Raw genomic sequence first — 17,249 nt, 5'->3', positions numbered from 1 at the left:
ATGGAATGTTCATTGTAAGTTTCAGACTCAGGACTCTTTCAATGGTTGATGTTAGATTTTAATGTAGAAGATGAGTTTCCTGCATTTTGACTGCCTATAGTAATTTTTGGTTGATGATGATTAACACTTCACATTTCTAGCTAATCTAGTTTTGGCCAAAGGAGGTTTGTACTTAGATCTGTTTATCAGTTTTGGTAAATATTTTGGTTGTGCTTTCTGAGCTTTGGCTCTGCCACCTGTCAGCCTTTATATCGCTTTAAGCAGATTCAAATGTGCGTGTGTAGAGGGGTATATTCCAACAACCTAGATCCACCATAGGCCTCAGCAACTCCAAGCATGTGAATCCCATGACCCAAATATTAGTGTAAAACTATGCACCTCAGTTTTCCATCTGTGAAATGAGGACAGTGATAGTATTTACAACACAGGCTTGTTGTGAAGAGTGAAGAAGTTACTATACACAAAAAACTTGGCAACGGTGCCAACCCCATAGTAGGCACTTTCACTTAATGAATTTAAGCTTGACTCTGGCTTCAGTCAGTGCTTCCTCCAAGATTGAGTTTACCAGTTTTGTAGGGCTTGATAAATGTTGAAATAGCTGCTATCTATAGTTATTCATCAGTGCATTAATTTCAGCCCAGTGGATAGTTCTCTCTGTAATCCAATGTGCTTACATCAGGTAATAATTGATAATATATCAGAACACTTTGTGGATTACTTTGTGTAGTTTTAGTTCCCTGTAAGGTTGTGCAGAGGGTTTACATTCATAAACATCAATTTAGCAAAGATACAAGTTTATGTTTATGGGTTTCTTTTTCAGCGTTGCTAATGTTATACAGCAGGCTGGGTGTCCTGTACCAGAATACATAAAAGGTTTTCAGAAACTACTAAGGTACAATCTTGAATTTACCTGTATCTTTGTCTGTCTCTTTGTATATACATTCTTTTTTTTTTTTTTCTTGCTCTGTTGCCCAGACTGCAGTGCAGTGGCATGATCACAGCTCACTGTAGTCTTGATCTCCTAGGCTCAAGTGATCCTCCTGCCTCAGTCCCCTAAGTAGCTGAGACTACAGGCATGTACTACCATGCCTGGCTATAATATTTTTTAGATTTTTGGGGAGTAGAAATGGGGTCTTGCTGTGTTAACCAGGCTAGTCTTGAACTCCTGGCCTCAAGTGATCTTGCTATCTTATATCCTTGCCTCCCGAAGTACTAGGATTACAGGCTTGTGTCACTGTGCCCAGTCCAAAACTGCTTGTGAATATTACATGTTATTTCCTTGCCAGTTTTTTATCCTTTATTTATTTATTTTTTTCCTTGAGATGAAGTCTCAGCTCATTGCAACCTCTGCCTCCCAGGTTTAAGCAGTTCTCCTGCTTCAGCCTCTCAAGTGGCTGGAATTACAGGTGTGCGCCACCATGCCCAGCTAATCTTTGTATTTTTAGTAGAGATGGGGTTTCACCATGTTGGCCAGGCTGGTCTCAAACTCCTGACCTCAAGTGATCTGCCCACCTGGGCCTCCCAAAGTGCTGGGATTATAGGCATGAGCTACTGCACCTAGGCTTATCCTTGAAATGTGAAGTATTCAGATTCTTTTAAAAGTATTCAGTATAAGTAAAATATGCTGAGAATTATTTTAGTTCATAAAGCTGGTAAAAAACTTAATTGATCAAAATCAAACTCTGATGCTTGTTGACACAGGATATAAGGTTGGCACAGGACATATTTTAATCACAGTCAGTAGCTTTCTAAAAGGTTGATTGAATTTATCATCCCTTTGAGTTAGCTCTGTAAATCCTATTAGGCGATCTCGTTTATTAAAGTAGTTACAGCCCCACCTTAAACCAGTAAATGGTTTTGAAAAATGAATTTTGTGGCTGAGCGTGGTAGCTCACGCCTGTAATCCCAGCACTTTGGGAGGCCGAGGCGGGCGGGACCTGAGGTCGGGAGTTTGAGACCAGCCTGACCAACATGGAGAAACCCCATCTCTACTTAAAATACAAAAAAAAATTTAGCCGGGCGTGGTGGTGTATGTCTGTAATCACAGCTACTTGGGAAGCTGAGGCAGGAGAATCGCCTGAACCCAGGAGGCAGAGGTTGCAGTGAGCCGAGATTGTGCCATTGCACTCCAGCCTGGGCAACAAGAGCAAAACTCCGTCTCAAAGGAAAAAAAAAAAATGAATTTTGTGATCAAGGATCAAAACTAATTTTAGCTTTAACTCTTCTAATTGAAGTTGCACTTAATTCTTTTCCTTTTTTACTTTGTAACTTTCAGCAAACAAAAGAAAAAGATGATTAAGAAACCATTGGAAAGGGAGAGCATTAGTACAACTCCAAAATGTTTCTTAGAAAAAGCTAAGGATAAACAGTAAGTATGTGGTAAGAAAAATGGCTGTTTGACACCATCATAAAGTTATAGTAGGCATTATTTTTCCTTAGGTAAATTTTTAGAAGTAGAATTGATACTACAGTCTGTTATAAAACGTTATAAAAATAATATATTTTAGGTTGCCTATAATTGGGAAATTTGTTTGTTTGTTTTTTTGAGACAGTGTTTTGCACTGTCGCCCAGGCTGGAGTGCAGTGGCGTGATCTCAGCTCACTGCAACCTCTGCCTCCCGGGTTCAAGCCATTCTACTGCTTCATCATCCCAAATAGCTGGGATTACAGGCTCCCGCCACCACACCCAGCTATTTTTTTTTTGTATTTTTATTAGACACGGAGTTTCACCATGTTGGCCAGGCTGAGCTCAGGTGATCCACCTGCCTTAGCCTTCCAAAGTGCTGGGATTACAGGCGTGAGCCACCATGCCCAGCCAGGAATTTGTTTTAATATTGGAATTTTTCTGTACCAATATGTTGATGATCTGTTTTTTTCCGTCTTGGAAAATATTATTTCAATTCTCTATAAATTCGAATTATACTGCCCACCTTCTCTACACAGCCCACATTAGGACATGCTACTAAGGCCAATAGTTAGGACCATTGACTTACATGGATCTAGTCTTCTTTGAAGCTCCATATTCTGGGCAGGATTTCAATATGATCTCAGGCTTACGCAGATGCACATTGTAACACCTGTAAGAAGTATTACTTAGGTAAATTTGTGCTAGCTTAGCTGAGTTTTATGAGAATATTAAAGTATAGTTTTTTAGCATTCATACAGGCTACCTTATTTTGCCCAGTAATACTAGGAAGCTTTATATTTTGAAAAGGATAGGCCAAGATATTTTGAACAGTTATACTCTATCCACTATTTAAGGAAAATGGCACTCTTCACATTCTACCAGAACCAGGTTATTATATACTCTAATAGAATTGTTCAAGTCTATAATTTATTGTTTTTTTCTCCCCTGAGAGTGCTATCAATGGCCTAGGATATTACCATTGTGAAATATGCTAATGCTTATATCCAGTTATCTCACATCTGTTCTATAGAAGTCATTAGAAAAAAACTGTTTCCATCAACCAGTAGGCATTTACCAAGTTGTTCTGCAAGGTACTTGGTGGTGGTAGTGTATACAAATGAATATAAAATGAGATCCTTTCCTGAAGTTAGGTAAAGAAGATTCGTGTACATGACAGAAAATTAGAGACTGGCTTTTAAATAAAATAGGAGATAAGAGAAAGATGATTGTGAATTGGTGTGGTTACAGAAGTTTCAACAAAGTAGAACTATCTTTAAGGATAGGTAAAATTTAGGCATGGAGAAGGGAACAAGATGAATAGAGGCATGAAAATTAGAGTGTGCTTTGTAAATAAGTGAACAAGAGTTTTCACATGTTGGTATTGTCTATGAGGAATAAAAGTCGGTTCAAATATACAGTGTATATATAGTGTCTCAAAATTTTATCATACTTTTAATAACTTGGGAAGGATAAGTGCTACAAACTGAAAAAAGTATATTTGAATAGTCAATCAATCAATAAGTACAAATTCCATTTGTACTTATTCAGTTTTGGGAATGCTTCACAATCACATTTACTTTTTTTTTTTTTGAGATGGAGTCTTGCTCTGCCACCCTGTCGCCCAGGCTGGAGTGCAGTGTCGCAATCTCGGCTCACTGCAACCTCCACCTCCCAGGTTCAAGTGATTCTCGTGCCTCAGCCTCCTGGGTAGCTGGGATTACAGGCACCCGCCACCATGCCTGGCTAATTTTTTTGTATTTTTACTAGAGATGGGGTTTCACCATGTTGGCCAAGATGGTCTCGAACTCTCAAACTCCTGGCCTCATGTGATCTCCCACCTCGGCCTCCCAAAGTGCTGGGATTACAAGTGTGAGCCACTGCACCTGGCCAACATTTTTAAATTTTAATTTTCTGTCGCAACAGTTTCTGGGTGACACTTAGACCAGTGGATTGGTAGCGAACCTTGTTATGCTTGGCCACTTTGGTCACCTAATCTGTCTTAATAGACTTGTTGGTAGGAGAGGAGTGGGTCACATCAGAACTGTTGTGTATGTGTTACTCTTTGGATGGTCTTAAAGCCAAGATAACAAATGCAGTCCTTTCAGGCACTGAGCAGCAACTGATGAAAGTTTTTACAAAGGTCAAAAATCAACTAGAACATAAGATGGTGGCTATGTTGAATTTTAATAAGATACATCAGTATTTTAAATAATTATACTTTAAATGCTGATTTGTTTTTGTTTTGAGATGGAATCTCTGTTGCTAGGCGGGAGTGCAGTGGCACGATCTCGGCTCACTGCAACCTTCACCTCCCGGGTTCAAGTGATTCTCCTGCCTCAGCCTCTTGAGTAGCTGGGATTACAGGCACACACCACCATGCCCAGCTAATTTTTGTATTTTTAGTAGAGACGGGGTTTCACCATGTTGGCCAGGGTGGTCTTGATCTCCTGGCCTTGTGATCCGCCCGCCTCGGCCTCCCAAAGTGCTAAGGCATGACCCACCGCGCCCAGTCTAAATGCTGATTTTTATAAGTTTATAGCATTTATACTTCTGGGGTTTTTTGTTTGTTTTTTGAGACAGGGTCTCAATCTGTCACCCAGACTGGAGTGCAGTGGCACAATCAGGGCTCACTGCAGCCTCGACCTCCTGGGCTCAAGCAGTCCTCCCATCTCAGCCCCCTGAGAAGCTAGGACTACAGGCTTATGCCACCGTGCCTGGCTAATATTGTTTTATTTTTAGTAGAGATGGGGTTTTGCCATATTGCCCAGGCTGGTCTCAAACTCCTGGACTCAAGCGATCTGCCTACCTCTGCCTCCCAACATGGTGGGATTACAGGCATGAGCCACTGCACCTGCCTTCTTCTGAGGTTATTAAAACTTAATTTGTACTAAGACTTCGAAGACACTTGATATAAATCTTGTCATATCAGCCCCCTGCTTAAGGTGCTTTGGTTGTGTCTCCATTTTCTTCATATGTAAAGGCCATACTACTTAACATAGCATACAAGCAAGACCCATCATGATCCAACTCTGGCTTACCTCTATGCTATAGATGTTTCCTTAATGATCCCACCCATGCCTATAGGCTCAGCTCATATTTCTGTGCTGATCGCTCTTAAGGTTGTTATCTTCAGCCCCAACTTCCCCATTGAGCTACAAACCTGAATCCTTGCTGCCTAGTGGACCTCACTTCAGGCATCACAAACTCAGCCCCATGCAGTGAGTCGGGGAGGAACTGGATTTGGAGCCAGAAGAACTGGTTCTAATATCTACTTCCCTGTGTAGAGTTGGGATTTGGGATTATATGAGTTAATATACACCAAAGAACTTTGTATTACTATAATAATAGTTTGCAAACATTGATTATTTTCTCAAAACTTTTTTCCTTTGTCTGTTACCACTTAGTTAATGACATTCAACCTTCACTAGGCTATAGGATCAGACTGATAGGATTCGTGTCTAACATGGATTACCAGTGAGTGATGACTGGCAAGTCAACCACTCTGTGCCTCATTTTCCTCATCTGTAAACGGAGGATAATAATACAATACTCCTCATAAGTTGTTAGGAAAATTACCCGAGTTAATACATGTAAAGCACTTAGTAACCGTTTCTAGCATGCAGTAAGCACTGAATCATTGTGAACTCATTAGGTCAGGATCCGAACCTATGTGTCATACCATGTAGTAATGTAGTTTACTGTGATGGTTCTGCCTCACTTAGGTGATTGTGATTTTCTAAAGGGCAGAGACCATGTCTAATGCATCTTTGTGTTCCTAGTGCCTCATTATTTGATACACAGTAGGTTTCAGTAAATGTTTATTAAACTGGTGGTAGGGTTATGGAAAGTAAATATACGTAGAATTTTTTATTCAATTTTTCTTACTTTGCTCTTTACAGGAAAAAGGTCACTGGTCAGAACAGCAAGAAGAAAGTAGCTCTTGAAGACAAAAGTTAAAAACAGACTTTAAAAATACTGTCCCAGAAATGTAATTTTATGATCCCAGCATGAATGTTATTTTCATGGAATACTTGAAGTCTTACAGTCACCTGTACCAAACATTTGAAATCAACTACAAGTACATGGGACTGGTGATAAATGATCCTAAACTATCAAGTCAGTTTCAATTTGTAGGTGCCTTTTTTTTTTCCTGTAGAGATGAGGGTCTTGCCATGTTGTCCAGGCTGGTCTTGAACTCCTGACCTCACACAATCCTCCTGCCTTAGCCTCCTGAGTAACTGAGATTACAGGCACAAGCTGCTGCACCCAGCTCTGTAGGTGACTTTTAAATGATTATACAATGGAAATAACATTCATTGACATTTCTGTGGTTTGAATCCAGAGAGATACTTCTTATAGAAAAACAAATGTTTATGCTAAAAATAACACCAAAATGTGGTGAACTCTTAAGGACTTTTCCCTTCAAGTGTGAAGGAAGGTGTGATGAATGCTGTGGAGAGGCATCTGGAACAGAAATTCAAAATAAAGCCTTGACATTAAATACCCCTTCCACTGCTCACTTTGTGGATGGTAGCATGAGCTGTCTACCAAGAAGAAACCTGCTGCTCTCTTAATTTTAATATTTCCTAATTTGTTGATGGCCTTTTGTGTTGTGAACCACAACAAAGAGAGGCCTCTTTTGTGGCTGGTTATTCCAGTTCCCTGGGATTTTAAATTCTTTGGTCTATTAAGTATCCTTGTATTGGATACGTAATACCTTAGTGCTGTCATAATGTTGTACAAGATCATGATCAGCTTCTCCCTTTCTTCATTTTCTGTGATTTAACCATGTTCTTTCCTGTCTCTTTCCATTTAAGATATTTTATTTGAATACTGATAAACATTTTATCCTGATAAGGAAGAATGTTCTTGTTACTTGATATACCTCTGTCTTCATTCTCTTACAGCTTATCTTTCCTTAGGTTGATGGTGCCTCATTTAATAAGTAGATCTCTACTTAAGCTAAAGGATTATGATCATATGGTGTTGGAGACTATTAGCTATTAGATTTTTCTCAAAATATGAGTTTTGTACAATGGAATGAAAAAGTGACTTCATATACGTAAGACTGGTGCCTAAGAATGACTTGAATGTTATCAGTACTACCACAGAACTATAATATACATTGCCTTTTCTCAGCAGCATTTGAATTCAACTTATTTATTTCCTCTATTTGTAGCTTTTTGTTCTAGAGTCAGAACAGGTGGACTTTGCTTTGAATATTTTAGATGGGACAAAAATTGTTCATCTTCGGAATTTATTTAAAGAAAGATCTACTGGTACAGGGTGTAAAAATACTTACAAGAATATGATTTTTTTGTTTGTTCATGCAAACAGATCCTTTACCCAATATATATTCTGGAGGTAGGTATACTGGTGCAACCCATTTGCCAGCTGTGTGACTTTGAGTAAGTTCTTAATTTCTCAGAGTTTCAGTGTTCTCATCTATAAAATTATGTCTCCAATTGTGAGTACCTAGCACTGTACCTGATACATAGTAAACTCACAATAAATATTTCTTAAACATAGATTTTGTTAGGAATACAGGCTTGATAACACAGTCCTTACCCTTACAATGTAATGTTAGAGATAAAGGAGCAAATAGAGTCACGCATCACTTAATGACAGAGATATGTTCTGAGAAATGCATCGTTAGGTGATATTGTCATTGTGTAAACATCATGTTGTTTACTTCCACAAACCTAGATGGTATAGCCTACCAGTACACCTAGGCTATATGGTATAGTCTGTTGCTCCTAGGCTACAAACCCGTATAGCATGTTACTGTCCTGCATGCTATAGACAGTTGGAACATGTAGACTTGTATAAACACTGCACACTTAACCTATACTAAATTTATTGAAAATATTTTTCTTGGCCAGGCGTAGTGGCTCATGCCTGTAATCCTAACACTTCGGGAGGCCTAGGCGGGCAGGTTGTCTGAGCTCAGGAGTTTAGAGACCAGCCCGGGCAACATGGCAAAACCCCATCTCTACTAAAAAAAATACCAAAAAAAGTTAGCCGGGTGTGGTGGCATAGTCCCGGCTACTCAGGAGTCTGAGGCAGGAGAATAGCTTGAACCTGTGAGGCGGAGGTTGCAGTAAGCCGAGATCGCGCTACTGCACTCCAGCCTGGGCGACAGGGCAAGACTGTCTTGAAAATAAACACACACACACACATTATATATATTATGTATTATATATATTAGATATATATTTTTTCTTCAATAAATTAACCTTAGCTTACTGTAACTTTTACTTTATGAGTTTTTTTGTTTTGTTTTTTTTTTTTTTTTTGAGAAACAGGGTCTGTTACCTAATTTGGAGTTTAGTGGCACAATCATGGCCCACTGCAGCCTTGACCTCTTAGACTCAAGTGATCCTCAAACCTCAGCCTCCCGAGTAGCTGGTACTATAGGTGCGGGCCACCAACACTCAGCTAATTTTTAAATTTTGTAGAGACGAGGTCTTGCTTGTTGTCCAGTTGGGTTTTTTAGATTTTTTTTTTTTTTTTTTTTTGGAGATGGAGTCTTGCTCTGTTGCCCAGGCTGGAGTGCAGTGGCATGATCTCGGCTCACTGCAACCTCTGACTCCTGGGTTCAAGTGATTCTCCTGCCTCAGCCTCCCGAGTTGCTGGGACTACAGGCATGCGCCACCACACCCAGCTAATTTTTGTATTTTTAGTGACAGGGTTTCACCATGTTGGCCAGGCTGGTCTCAAACTCCTGACCTGGAGTGAGCCACTATATCCGGCCTTTATAAACTTTTTTGATTCTTGTCATAACACTTAGCCTAAAATGCAAATGTACAGCTGTAGAAAAATACTTTATTTCTTTATATCCTTATTCTAGAAGCTTTTTTTCTATTAATTTTTGTTTGTTTGTTTTGTTTTACTATTTACTTCTAAAACTTTTTTGTTAAAAACCATGGCACAAACACACACATTATGCTAGGCATACAAAAGGTCAGGATCATCAGTCTCACTGTCTTCCACCCCCACTTCTCATCCCACCATTGTATCTGCTGTCTGTGGCTGACCAAAACATCATCATGTAGCACATGACTAGTGTGGCAAGTGCTCTGTTAGATGTAAGGCCATGATGCTAAAGCATCACAAGAGGGCATCTAACCCAGATTGGGGATGTCATGGAAGGCCGACATCCTGAGTTGAATCCTGCAAATGTAAAAACCAATAGGCAAAGAAGAGGAACAAAAAGGATTCCAGGACAAACTGAGGTCACATCTATGATCCTTGACTTTATTGTGTCTGTTTAAAGTATCTACAGTAACCTGTATCAACTTAGTCAGTGTATTAATACTAAATTTAGCTCCTTCAAAGCAGTTGGAACTATGTGCTACATAAATTTCAGCTTCACACAAGGAAGGGAAGGAGTGAAATTAGTGAACAGGCAGTTACAGCAAAAGAAAAAACATAAAAATTGAATAGCTGGCTCTGGTGAAATGAGCAAGGACTTTAGAGTCAAACTGGCCTGGATTTGAATCCTGATCCTCATTGCTTGTAGCTGTATGATCTGGACAAATGACAGTAACTGTTTCTAACCTTGATTTTCTCATCTGTAAGATGCCAATTGTAACTCCTAAGGATACTGAGGATTTTTTAAAATGCGTGTACAGTTCCTGACCAGTGGTTTGTGCCTAATAACTTATTACAAATTATTACCCAGTAAAAACCTTGAGACAAGAGTGAAAACGTAAAGCTAATTAATCCATTACTTGTTAGCAAGCAAACTACGTGCTTGAGAAAATTACTCAACTTTCATGTTTTACTTCCAGACAGTAGTTTGATTAAAAGAAAAAAAAAAATCACAGCCCAGGCATGTGGCTCACACCCTGGCACTTGGAGGCCGAGGTGGGAGCATAGCTTGAGCCTAGCAGTTTGAAACTAGCCTGGGCAACATAGATCCTATCTCTACAAAAAAAAAAAAAAAAAAAAAAAAAAAAATTGGCCCGGTGTGGTGGTGCATGCCTGTGGTCCCAGCTACTCAGGAGGCTGAGGCGAGAGGATCGCTTGAGCCAGGGAGGCTGAGGCTGCTGTGAGCCATGATCATGCCACTGCACTCCAGCCTGGACAACAGAGCAAGACCCTGTCTCAAAAAAAAAAAAAATCAGTAAAAAATATGCCGAAATAGCTTCAGAGTAATTATGAATTGCCTTCCAAAAACCACTGTTTTGCACTTGCCTGCAAGAATAGGAAAAACAAAAGGACTGTAAGGTGGCAGGATGGCAGAACCAAACAAGAGTAGTACACCTTGGAGTTTTTTCGAAATATGGGTTGGGTTTTTGGGCTCTTGGTTGATTTAAAATAAAATTTAAATGCCTTCAGCGTCTGTGATAGGTGCCAACATGAAGCTACCGAGTTCCAGAGAAAGAGGGGAGAGCTGATCACTCATCAGTGCTGCGAGACTATCAAAGGGCCCTTCAGGACCTATCTGTTCTTTGTGTGTAAAGAGTAACAATAAAAGAACACCAGTGTACCCACCGTATAGTTTAAAAATCAGGACTCAGCCTACTCTTTCCACTAACCGCGATCATGGTTTTCAAACGGAGGACCAACGGCGCTTTGCCACTGGGCCGCCAGCTGGGCCCTGCAGAGGGCCTACCAGACAATGAATCAGCTCCCTTGGAGAGGCGCCCGCGACCGCCCCACCAGCCCGAGAGCTAGAATTGAATCTGGGGGACCCCTGCGGCGCCGGGTCACGTGCCGTGGGCGCGCCACGCCTCCCCGAGGGCCGGGGGAGTCACGTGGGCGCGAGGCCCCGCCCCATCGCCCGGTCCGCGGCGAGGTGGGGCCTGGTGTTTGACCCGGAAGTGGCTGTGTTCAGCTGACAGCTGCTGATAAGGTGGCGGCGGCGAAGGCAGCGGCAGGTCGGGAGCAAGATGGCGCTGCGGCCAGGAGCTGGTTCTGGTGGCGGCGGGGCCGCGGGAGCTGGCGCGGGGTCCGCCGGGGGAGGCGGGTAGGTGTGAAGAGCCGGGCGGGAGCCCGCTGGCCTCCGCGGGGGCGGCGAGGGGCGCTTGGCAGTTATGGCAGTTTTCTCCAGCCCTGATCCTTTTCCTTGGAACTGGGCTGCGGGAGGAGGGTCATCCCCCAGGGACCCAGGCCGAAAGGGGCGTGTGGAGCCCAGGTGCTGGACGCTGGTGTTCCGGGATCAGTTGGGGGCGCCGGCCGCCTGGAATCGAGCGGGGAGCGAGCGCGCGCCCAGTGTGGGAGGGGAGAGAAGATGAGGGTCCTCTTGGGGTGGGGGGGGGCGGGGCAAATCAGGAACCGCGACTCCGCTCCTAGTCCTAGCTGCCTCTGAAGCGACCAGGGTCTTCCCTTTCCTTGGGCTTTCTAGACTTAACCGGATATGTTGGAGGGAGGGCTTTAAAAATCTGTTCACAAAGCTGGAGGACTGTTTCCAAGGGGGGTGTGTGTGTGGACTATTTGTCTCTTCCCCTTTTAGAGTGTCCTGTCCTCTTTATTTCCTTAACCCGCGACAAACAGCAGGAACATCTAAAGACCTCTGAATTAGTAATGGTCTTGAGATAGAGTTCTTGTCTTGTACACTAACTCTTAAGACTTGTCTGTCTTCTTTTTAAAAAGGCATTTAAAAACAAAGAAAGTGCACTGTTAAACAGCAGTTGCGCATTTATTAGAACAAAGCTTCCAGACTCAGCCCTTAAACAAATCTGCCCTCTGCCACATTTCAGCCAAGAACTGCCGTGGTTCTTATACCCAGAATGGTAAGGGAGATGTACGTTTTACAAGCTGACAGATTCGTTATCATTTAAGGAAATATTTTATTCTAGGAAGTTTTCACTCCACTTCTATAATGACCTAGTCTGATTTTGTTTTACTAACCAACACACAACAGCACACACATTTGGAGGTAAAAGTAGCTTTGCATCTTCAGTATCCTAAATTGTCTTTGGAAAACGAAGTGTTAGGTTTTTTTTTTATATGCAGTGTTTCAATTTCGGAGTCGTGAACACTACAAAAGTGTAAGGACCTTAAAGTTATCACCTCTTGCAGGTGCTTGTCAGGAAACGAGCAGTGGCTGTTCAATAAACCACCTGTGTGTAACCCCATTTTTCATTTCCTCTGCACATCTTTAACTTTAGATTTTTAAACTTTTTGCTTTCTCTTTTGTTCTCTCCGTTGTTTCATTAGAGGGTTTTTTAAAAAATAAATACTTCGTGTAAGCCAGTTTCTGGCTGGAGAAGAAACATATGTAATAATTCCCTTCTATTTGTTTTTTCTTTTTCTTTTGTCTTGTTTTTTTTTTTTTTTTTTTTTTTTTGAGAGGAAGTCTTGCTCTGTTGCCCAGGCCAGAGTGCGGCGGCGTGATCTCGACCCGCTGCAACCTCTGCCTCCTGGGTCCAAGCGATTCTCTTGCCTCAGCCTCGGAGCAGCTGGGATTACAGGTGCGCGCCACCATGCCCGGCTAATTTTGTTGATTGATCGATTGAGACAGAGTCTCGTTCTGTCACCCAGGCTAGAGTGCAGTGGCACGATGTCGGCTCACTGCAACCTCGACCTCCCGGGTTCAAGCGATTCTTCTGCCTCAGCCTCCCAAGTAGCTGGGATTACAGGCGTGCGCCACCACGCCCAGCTAATTTCTGTATTTTTAGTAGAGACGGGGTTTCACCATGTTAGCCAGGCTGGTCTCAAACTCCTGGCCTCAAGTGATCCGCCCACCTTGGCCTCCCAAAGTTCTAGAATTACAGGCTTGAGTCACCACGCCCGGCATCCTCTATTTATTTCCTATATGTGATTACAGTTTCTAAAATGTCCCTGGATGGTATTAATTTGATCAAGTATATGATTAATCATGGCACCAAGTTCTGGGAAAATGTAAACTTAGAAGAATTGATATCTAGGCCCAAATTTTTATTTACTTAAAAAATGTTTTTGGATGGGGAGGACCTCAGGTTCAGAAATTCAAGTGCATTATTCCCTTTAGTTTGCAGTATTTGAGTATCATTGGTCCATGGACACAAATTTTTAAAATAAATATGGGTTGAATTTTGATAGAAATTAGAATGATTTTAAAATTTCCCCCCTTTGTAAATGTAGCAACATCTGCATTCTAAAACTGTAAACGATATACAGGAGAGAAAGAAGTGGTTAAAATGATTCTTACCTTGAAAAATGTATGGTACATATGTTACATATATTGGCAACTTTCTGAGGCTGAGAAGCTGTATCCTCAATAGAAAAAGGAATATTATTTTTTTTAGAGAGTAATGGTGTAAAGGCTGAAGTTATTTTATTTCCTTTTTAATTTTCTTTTTGCCACCCACCCTCCCTGAAATTATTTTATAAGGAAACTTAACATTATGGCAACCTAAGTATATTTGAAGAAAAAAAACAGGCAACTTCTCTACACCTTTAATGGAGAAAATCCATGAACTATAACTGACTGTATTGTTTAGATACTTCTCTATATTCTAAGAGGCTAAGCAAAACACAATAACGTTTTCCAAATTTAATATTACCCTACTTTTGATTGGTGTCCTGGATGAGCTACTTTAGAATAAATGGTAGAGTTGTATAAAGGGCAAAATTTGCCCAAGAGATGAGAAGTATAAATTTTTTTTTTCTTTAATCAAGGCAGAAAAAAAAAAGAGTTGAAAGATCTGGATTAGTCTGTAGTCATTGAATGCTTACATGGGTAAGGTACTGTTCTTGATGCTGTAATGAATTAAAAAGACATCAAAACATGGTCCCCATCCTTGGAGAATGTACAAAATAACTGTGGTACAAAGTAAAGTGGAACAAAGAGGTCACGTTCTTCTGGGATGTTATCATCTGTGAACTTGTCTATTTTTTCCTGATCTTTTACAAGCTTTTAGAGGGCTTCCTCATCTTTTCTTCTTTCACTGCTTCTAGCACATTTTTGCACATAAAAAACATTCTGTAAATATTTGTGGATTTCAGCTATATCAAAGGCAAAGAAGTGGTATTTCATTTGGCCCACAGAGTTAGAGGAAGAGGAAGCGGTCAAGAGATCGTCACAGAGATGGGAAGGCCTAGTCAACACTAAGGAAACGATGTACCTGCAGTGCCAGATGACTGTGGCTCTGAGTGGCAGAGAAGAGTTTTGTGAGATAAAACTGCAAAGTAGAGTTGTGCCCAAACTAGAGAGGGCCTTGAGTTTAAACTAAGGAAATTCAGTTTCAGGGAAATCATTTCATAGTTTTAACTTCAGGGGTGCGTCTTGCTAAAGGACCATTTAATTATTGCGTAATGGTCCATCATTTAGAAAGATGTCTCTCACTTGTGCTGCATCAGATGAATTAGAAACCAGAGTCTGGAGGTGGGGAGATCCATTAGGAAGTCTTTATGTAGGAGTTTAGGCCTAAGAAGTGAAGCCTAGTGTCAAATCTAGGTTAGTAGCAAAGGTAACTGAAAAGGAGGGACGGATGAGATAGGTAAGTGACAGAGCTCTGCTTTCATACCGAGATGTCAGTAATATAAGAATTAGTGGTTTTACCTTTGAAATTAAATTGTTGGTCACCTTCCTGCCCAGTTTTTTGCCAAGCTTTTACTGTCTTATTAATGCCTTAACTGCTTATCTAACCAATCTTTAAGCATGTTGTTATTAGTTGTCTAAACATTTCAGAGAAAAATATGAATTTTTCATAGGTCACTAAGCAGTTCGATTTGCTAAATTCTTACTAGAGAAAGTCATGTTTGACAGTATTTTGTTTTTATTTCATTTTCAAAGTAACCTTTATACATCTGTTTATGTATTCATGTCTATGTGATTGTCTTAGCTGAGACTTTAGCAGCCTTGATTCTACGTCCTCATTTGACAGAGGGGAAACCAGACAGGGGGTAAAGGAGATTGCACAGAGCTTCACAGTTACTTTATGGCAAAGCTGGAAGAAAGAAAATATACACGAGTTTCCAATTCTTTTGAGCCTCTAGGCCATATGACTAATTTAAATGTTTAAGCCTGATTTTTAAAAATCTTGACAGCTTGATTACTTAAATGTATTCATTGCTCCTGAATGTATCAATTTTAGCATATGAGTAATGTCTTTAAAAACTGAATACAGGCATACCTCATTGCAGTTAGCAGATACAGTGTTTTTTATAAATTGAAGGTTTGTGGCAACTCTGCATTGAGCAAGTTTATCCGCGCAATTTTTCCACAGCCTGTGTTCACTTCATGTCTCTGTCACATTTTGGTAATTCTCACAATATTTCAAACTCTTTCATTATTATTATTTGTTATGGTGATCTGTGATCAGTGATCTTTGATGTTACTAGTGTAATTGTTTTGGAGCACCACAAACCCAGCTCGTATAAGACAGCAAACGTAATTGATAAATGTTTTGTGCAGTCTGACTGCTCTACCTACCAGCTGTTCCCCGGTCTTCCTCTCCAAGGGCCTCCATATTCCCTGAGACATAACAGTATTGAAATTAGGCTGATTAACCCTACAGTGGCCTCTAAGTGTTCAAGTGAAAGGAAGAGTCGCCCATCTCTCCCTTTAAATCCGAAGCTAGAAATGATAAAGCTTAGTCATTAAGTGTTGAAAGCTGAGGTAGGTCAAAAGCGAGGCCTCTTACACCAGTTAACTAAGTTGTGAATGCAGAGGAAAAGTTCTTGAAGGAAATTAAAAGTCCTATTCCAGGAAACACAAATGTTAAGAAAGTAAAACAGCTTTATTGCTGATATTGAAAAAGGGTGAGTGGTCTGGATAGAAGATTAAACCACCCTTAACATTCCCTTAAGCCAAAGCCTAATTTGAAGCAAGATCCTTAGTCTCTTCAATTCTGTAAAGGCTGAAGGCTGAGAAATAGGTGAGGAAGCTGCAGAAGAAAAGTTGGAAGCTAACAGGTCAGTTTATGAGGTTTAAGCAAAGAAGCTATCTCCATAACAAAAAAGTACAAGGTGAAGCAGCAAGTGCTGATGTAGAAGCTTTAGCAAGTTATTCAGAAGAGCTAAGATCATTGATGAAGGTGGCTACGCTAAACAATAGATTTTCTTTTTTTTTTTTTTTTATAGACAGAGTCTCACTCTGTCACCCAGGCTGGAGTGCAGTGGCGTGATCTCGCCTCAATGTAACCTTCGCCTCCCGGGTTCAAGTGGTTCTTCTGCCTCAGCCTCCCCAGTAGCTGAGATTACAGGCACGCACCACCACGCCAGGCTAATTTTATATTTTTAGTAGAAATAGGGTTTCACCATGTTGGCCAGGCTGGTCACATACTCCTGACCTCAGGTAATCCACCCACCTCGGCCTCCCAAAGTGCTGGAATTACAGGCATGAGCCACCATACCTGGCCAGATTTTCAATGCAGGTGAAGATGCCATCTAAGACTTTCCTAGCTAGAGAGGAGAAGTCAATGTCTGGCACCAAAGGACAGGCTGACTGTCTTGTTAGGGCCTAATGCAGCAGGTAACTTTAAATTAAACCAATACTCACTGACCACTATGAAAATCTCAGGGCTTTTCAAAAGTATGCTAAATCTACTCTGCCTATAGTCCATAAATTGAACCACAAAGCCTGGGTGACAGCACATCTGTTTACAGCATGGTTTACTGAGTATTTTAAGCCCATTGTTGAGACCTACTTCTCAGAAAAAAGTTTCTTTTGAAAACGTTACTGCTTCTTGACAATGTGCCTGGTCACCCAAGAGCTCTGATGGCAATGCATGAGAAGGTTAATGTTCTCATGTCTGCTAAAGCGGCATCCATTCTCCATGAATCAAGGAGTAATTTCTTCTTTCATCTCTTATTATTTGAGAAATTCATTGTAAGGCTATATCTAAGGCTATAACGCCCATAGATAGTGATTCTTTTGATGGAACTGGACACAGTAAATTGAAAACTT

The 17,249-nt window shown here is 40.9% G+C and overlaps 2 protein-coding genes and 1 non-coding gene across 56 annotated transcripts in view; all 3 read left to right on the top strand.

The window, feature by feature from the left end:
• DDX52 (DExD-box helicase 52) overlaps nucleotides 1–10,921 on the top strand; it is a 33,708-nt gene extending 22,787 nt beyond the window's left edge. For all 3 annotated transcript variants that reach the window (NM_007010.5, NM_001291476.2, XM_011524233.4), the window contains 3 exons: nucleotides 821–892; nucleotides 2,276–2,368; nucleotides 6,307–10,921. In NM_007010.5, the coding sequence (NP_008941.3) occupies nucleotides 821–892; nucleotides 2,276–2,368; nucleotides 6,307–6,364 (223 nt within the window). In that variant the 3' untranslated portion in view covers nucleotides 6,365–10,921. The remainder of the gene's footprint in view (nucleotides 1–820; nucleotides 893–2,275; nucleotides 2,369–6,306) is intronic.
• MIR378J (microRNA 378j) lies at nucleotides 5,621–5,729 on the top strand. The gene has a single exon (NR_106744.1). It is a non-coding gene; the product is annotated as a microRNA 378j (primary transcript).
• A 320-nt stretch (nucleotides 10,922–11,241) lies between the features above and the next one.
• Nucleotides 11,242–17,249, top strand: part of SYNRG (synergin gamma) — a 94,612-nt gene continuing 88,604 nt past the window's right edge. For 50 of the 52 annotated variants that reach the window (XM_047435249.1, XM_047435247.1, XM_047435246.1 and 47 more), the window contains exon 1: nucleotides 11,242–11,381. In XM_047435249.1, coding sequence (XP_047291205.1) covers nucleotides 11,305–11,381 — 77 coding nt within the window. In that variant the 5' untranslated portion in view covers nucleotides 11,242–11,304. The remainder of the gene's footprint in view (nucleotides 11,382–17,249) is intronic. The other 2 variants (XM_017024081.3, XM_047435226.1) reach the window with 1 other exon arrangement.

The sequence above is a fragment of the Homo sapiens genome, chromosome 17 (genome assembly GCF_000001405.40).
Source record: "Homo sapiens chromosome 17, GRCh38.p14 Primary Assembly".
Lineage (NCBI taxonomy): Eukaryota > Metazoa > Chordata > Mammalia > Primates > Hominidae > Homo > Homo sapiens.
The sequence above is the reverse complement of the archived record's forward strand: the minus strand, read 5'-3'. Positions and strand labels throughout refer to the sequence as shown.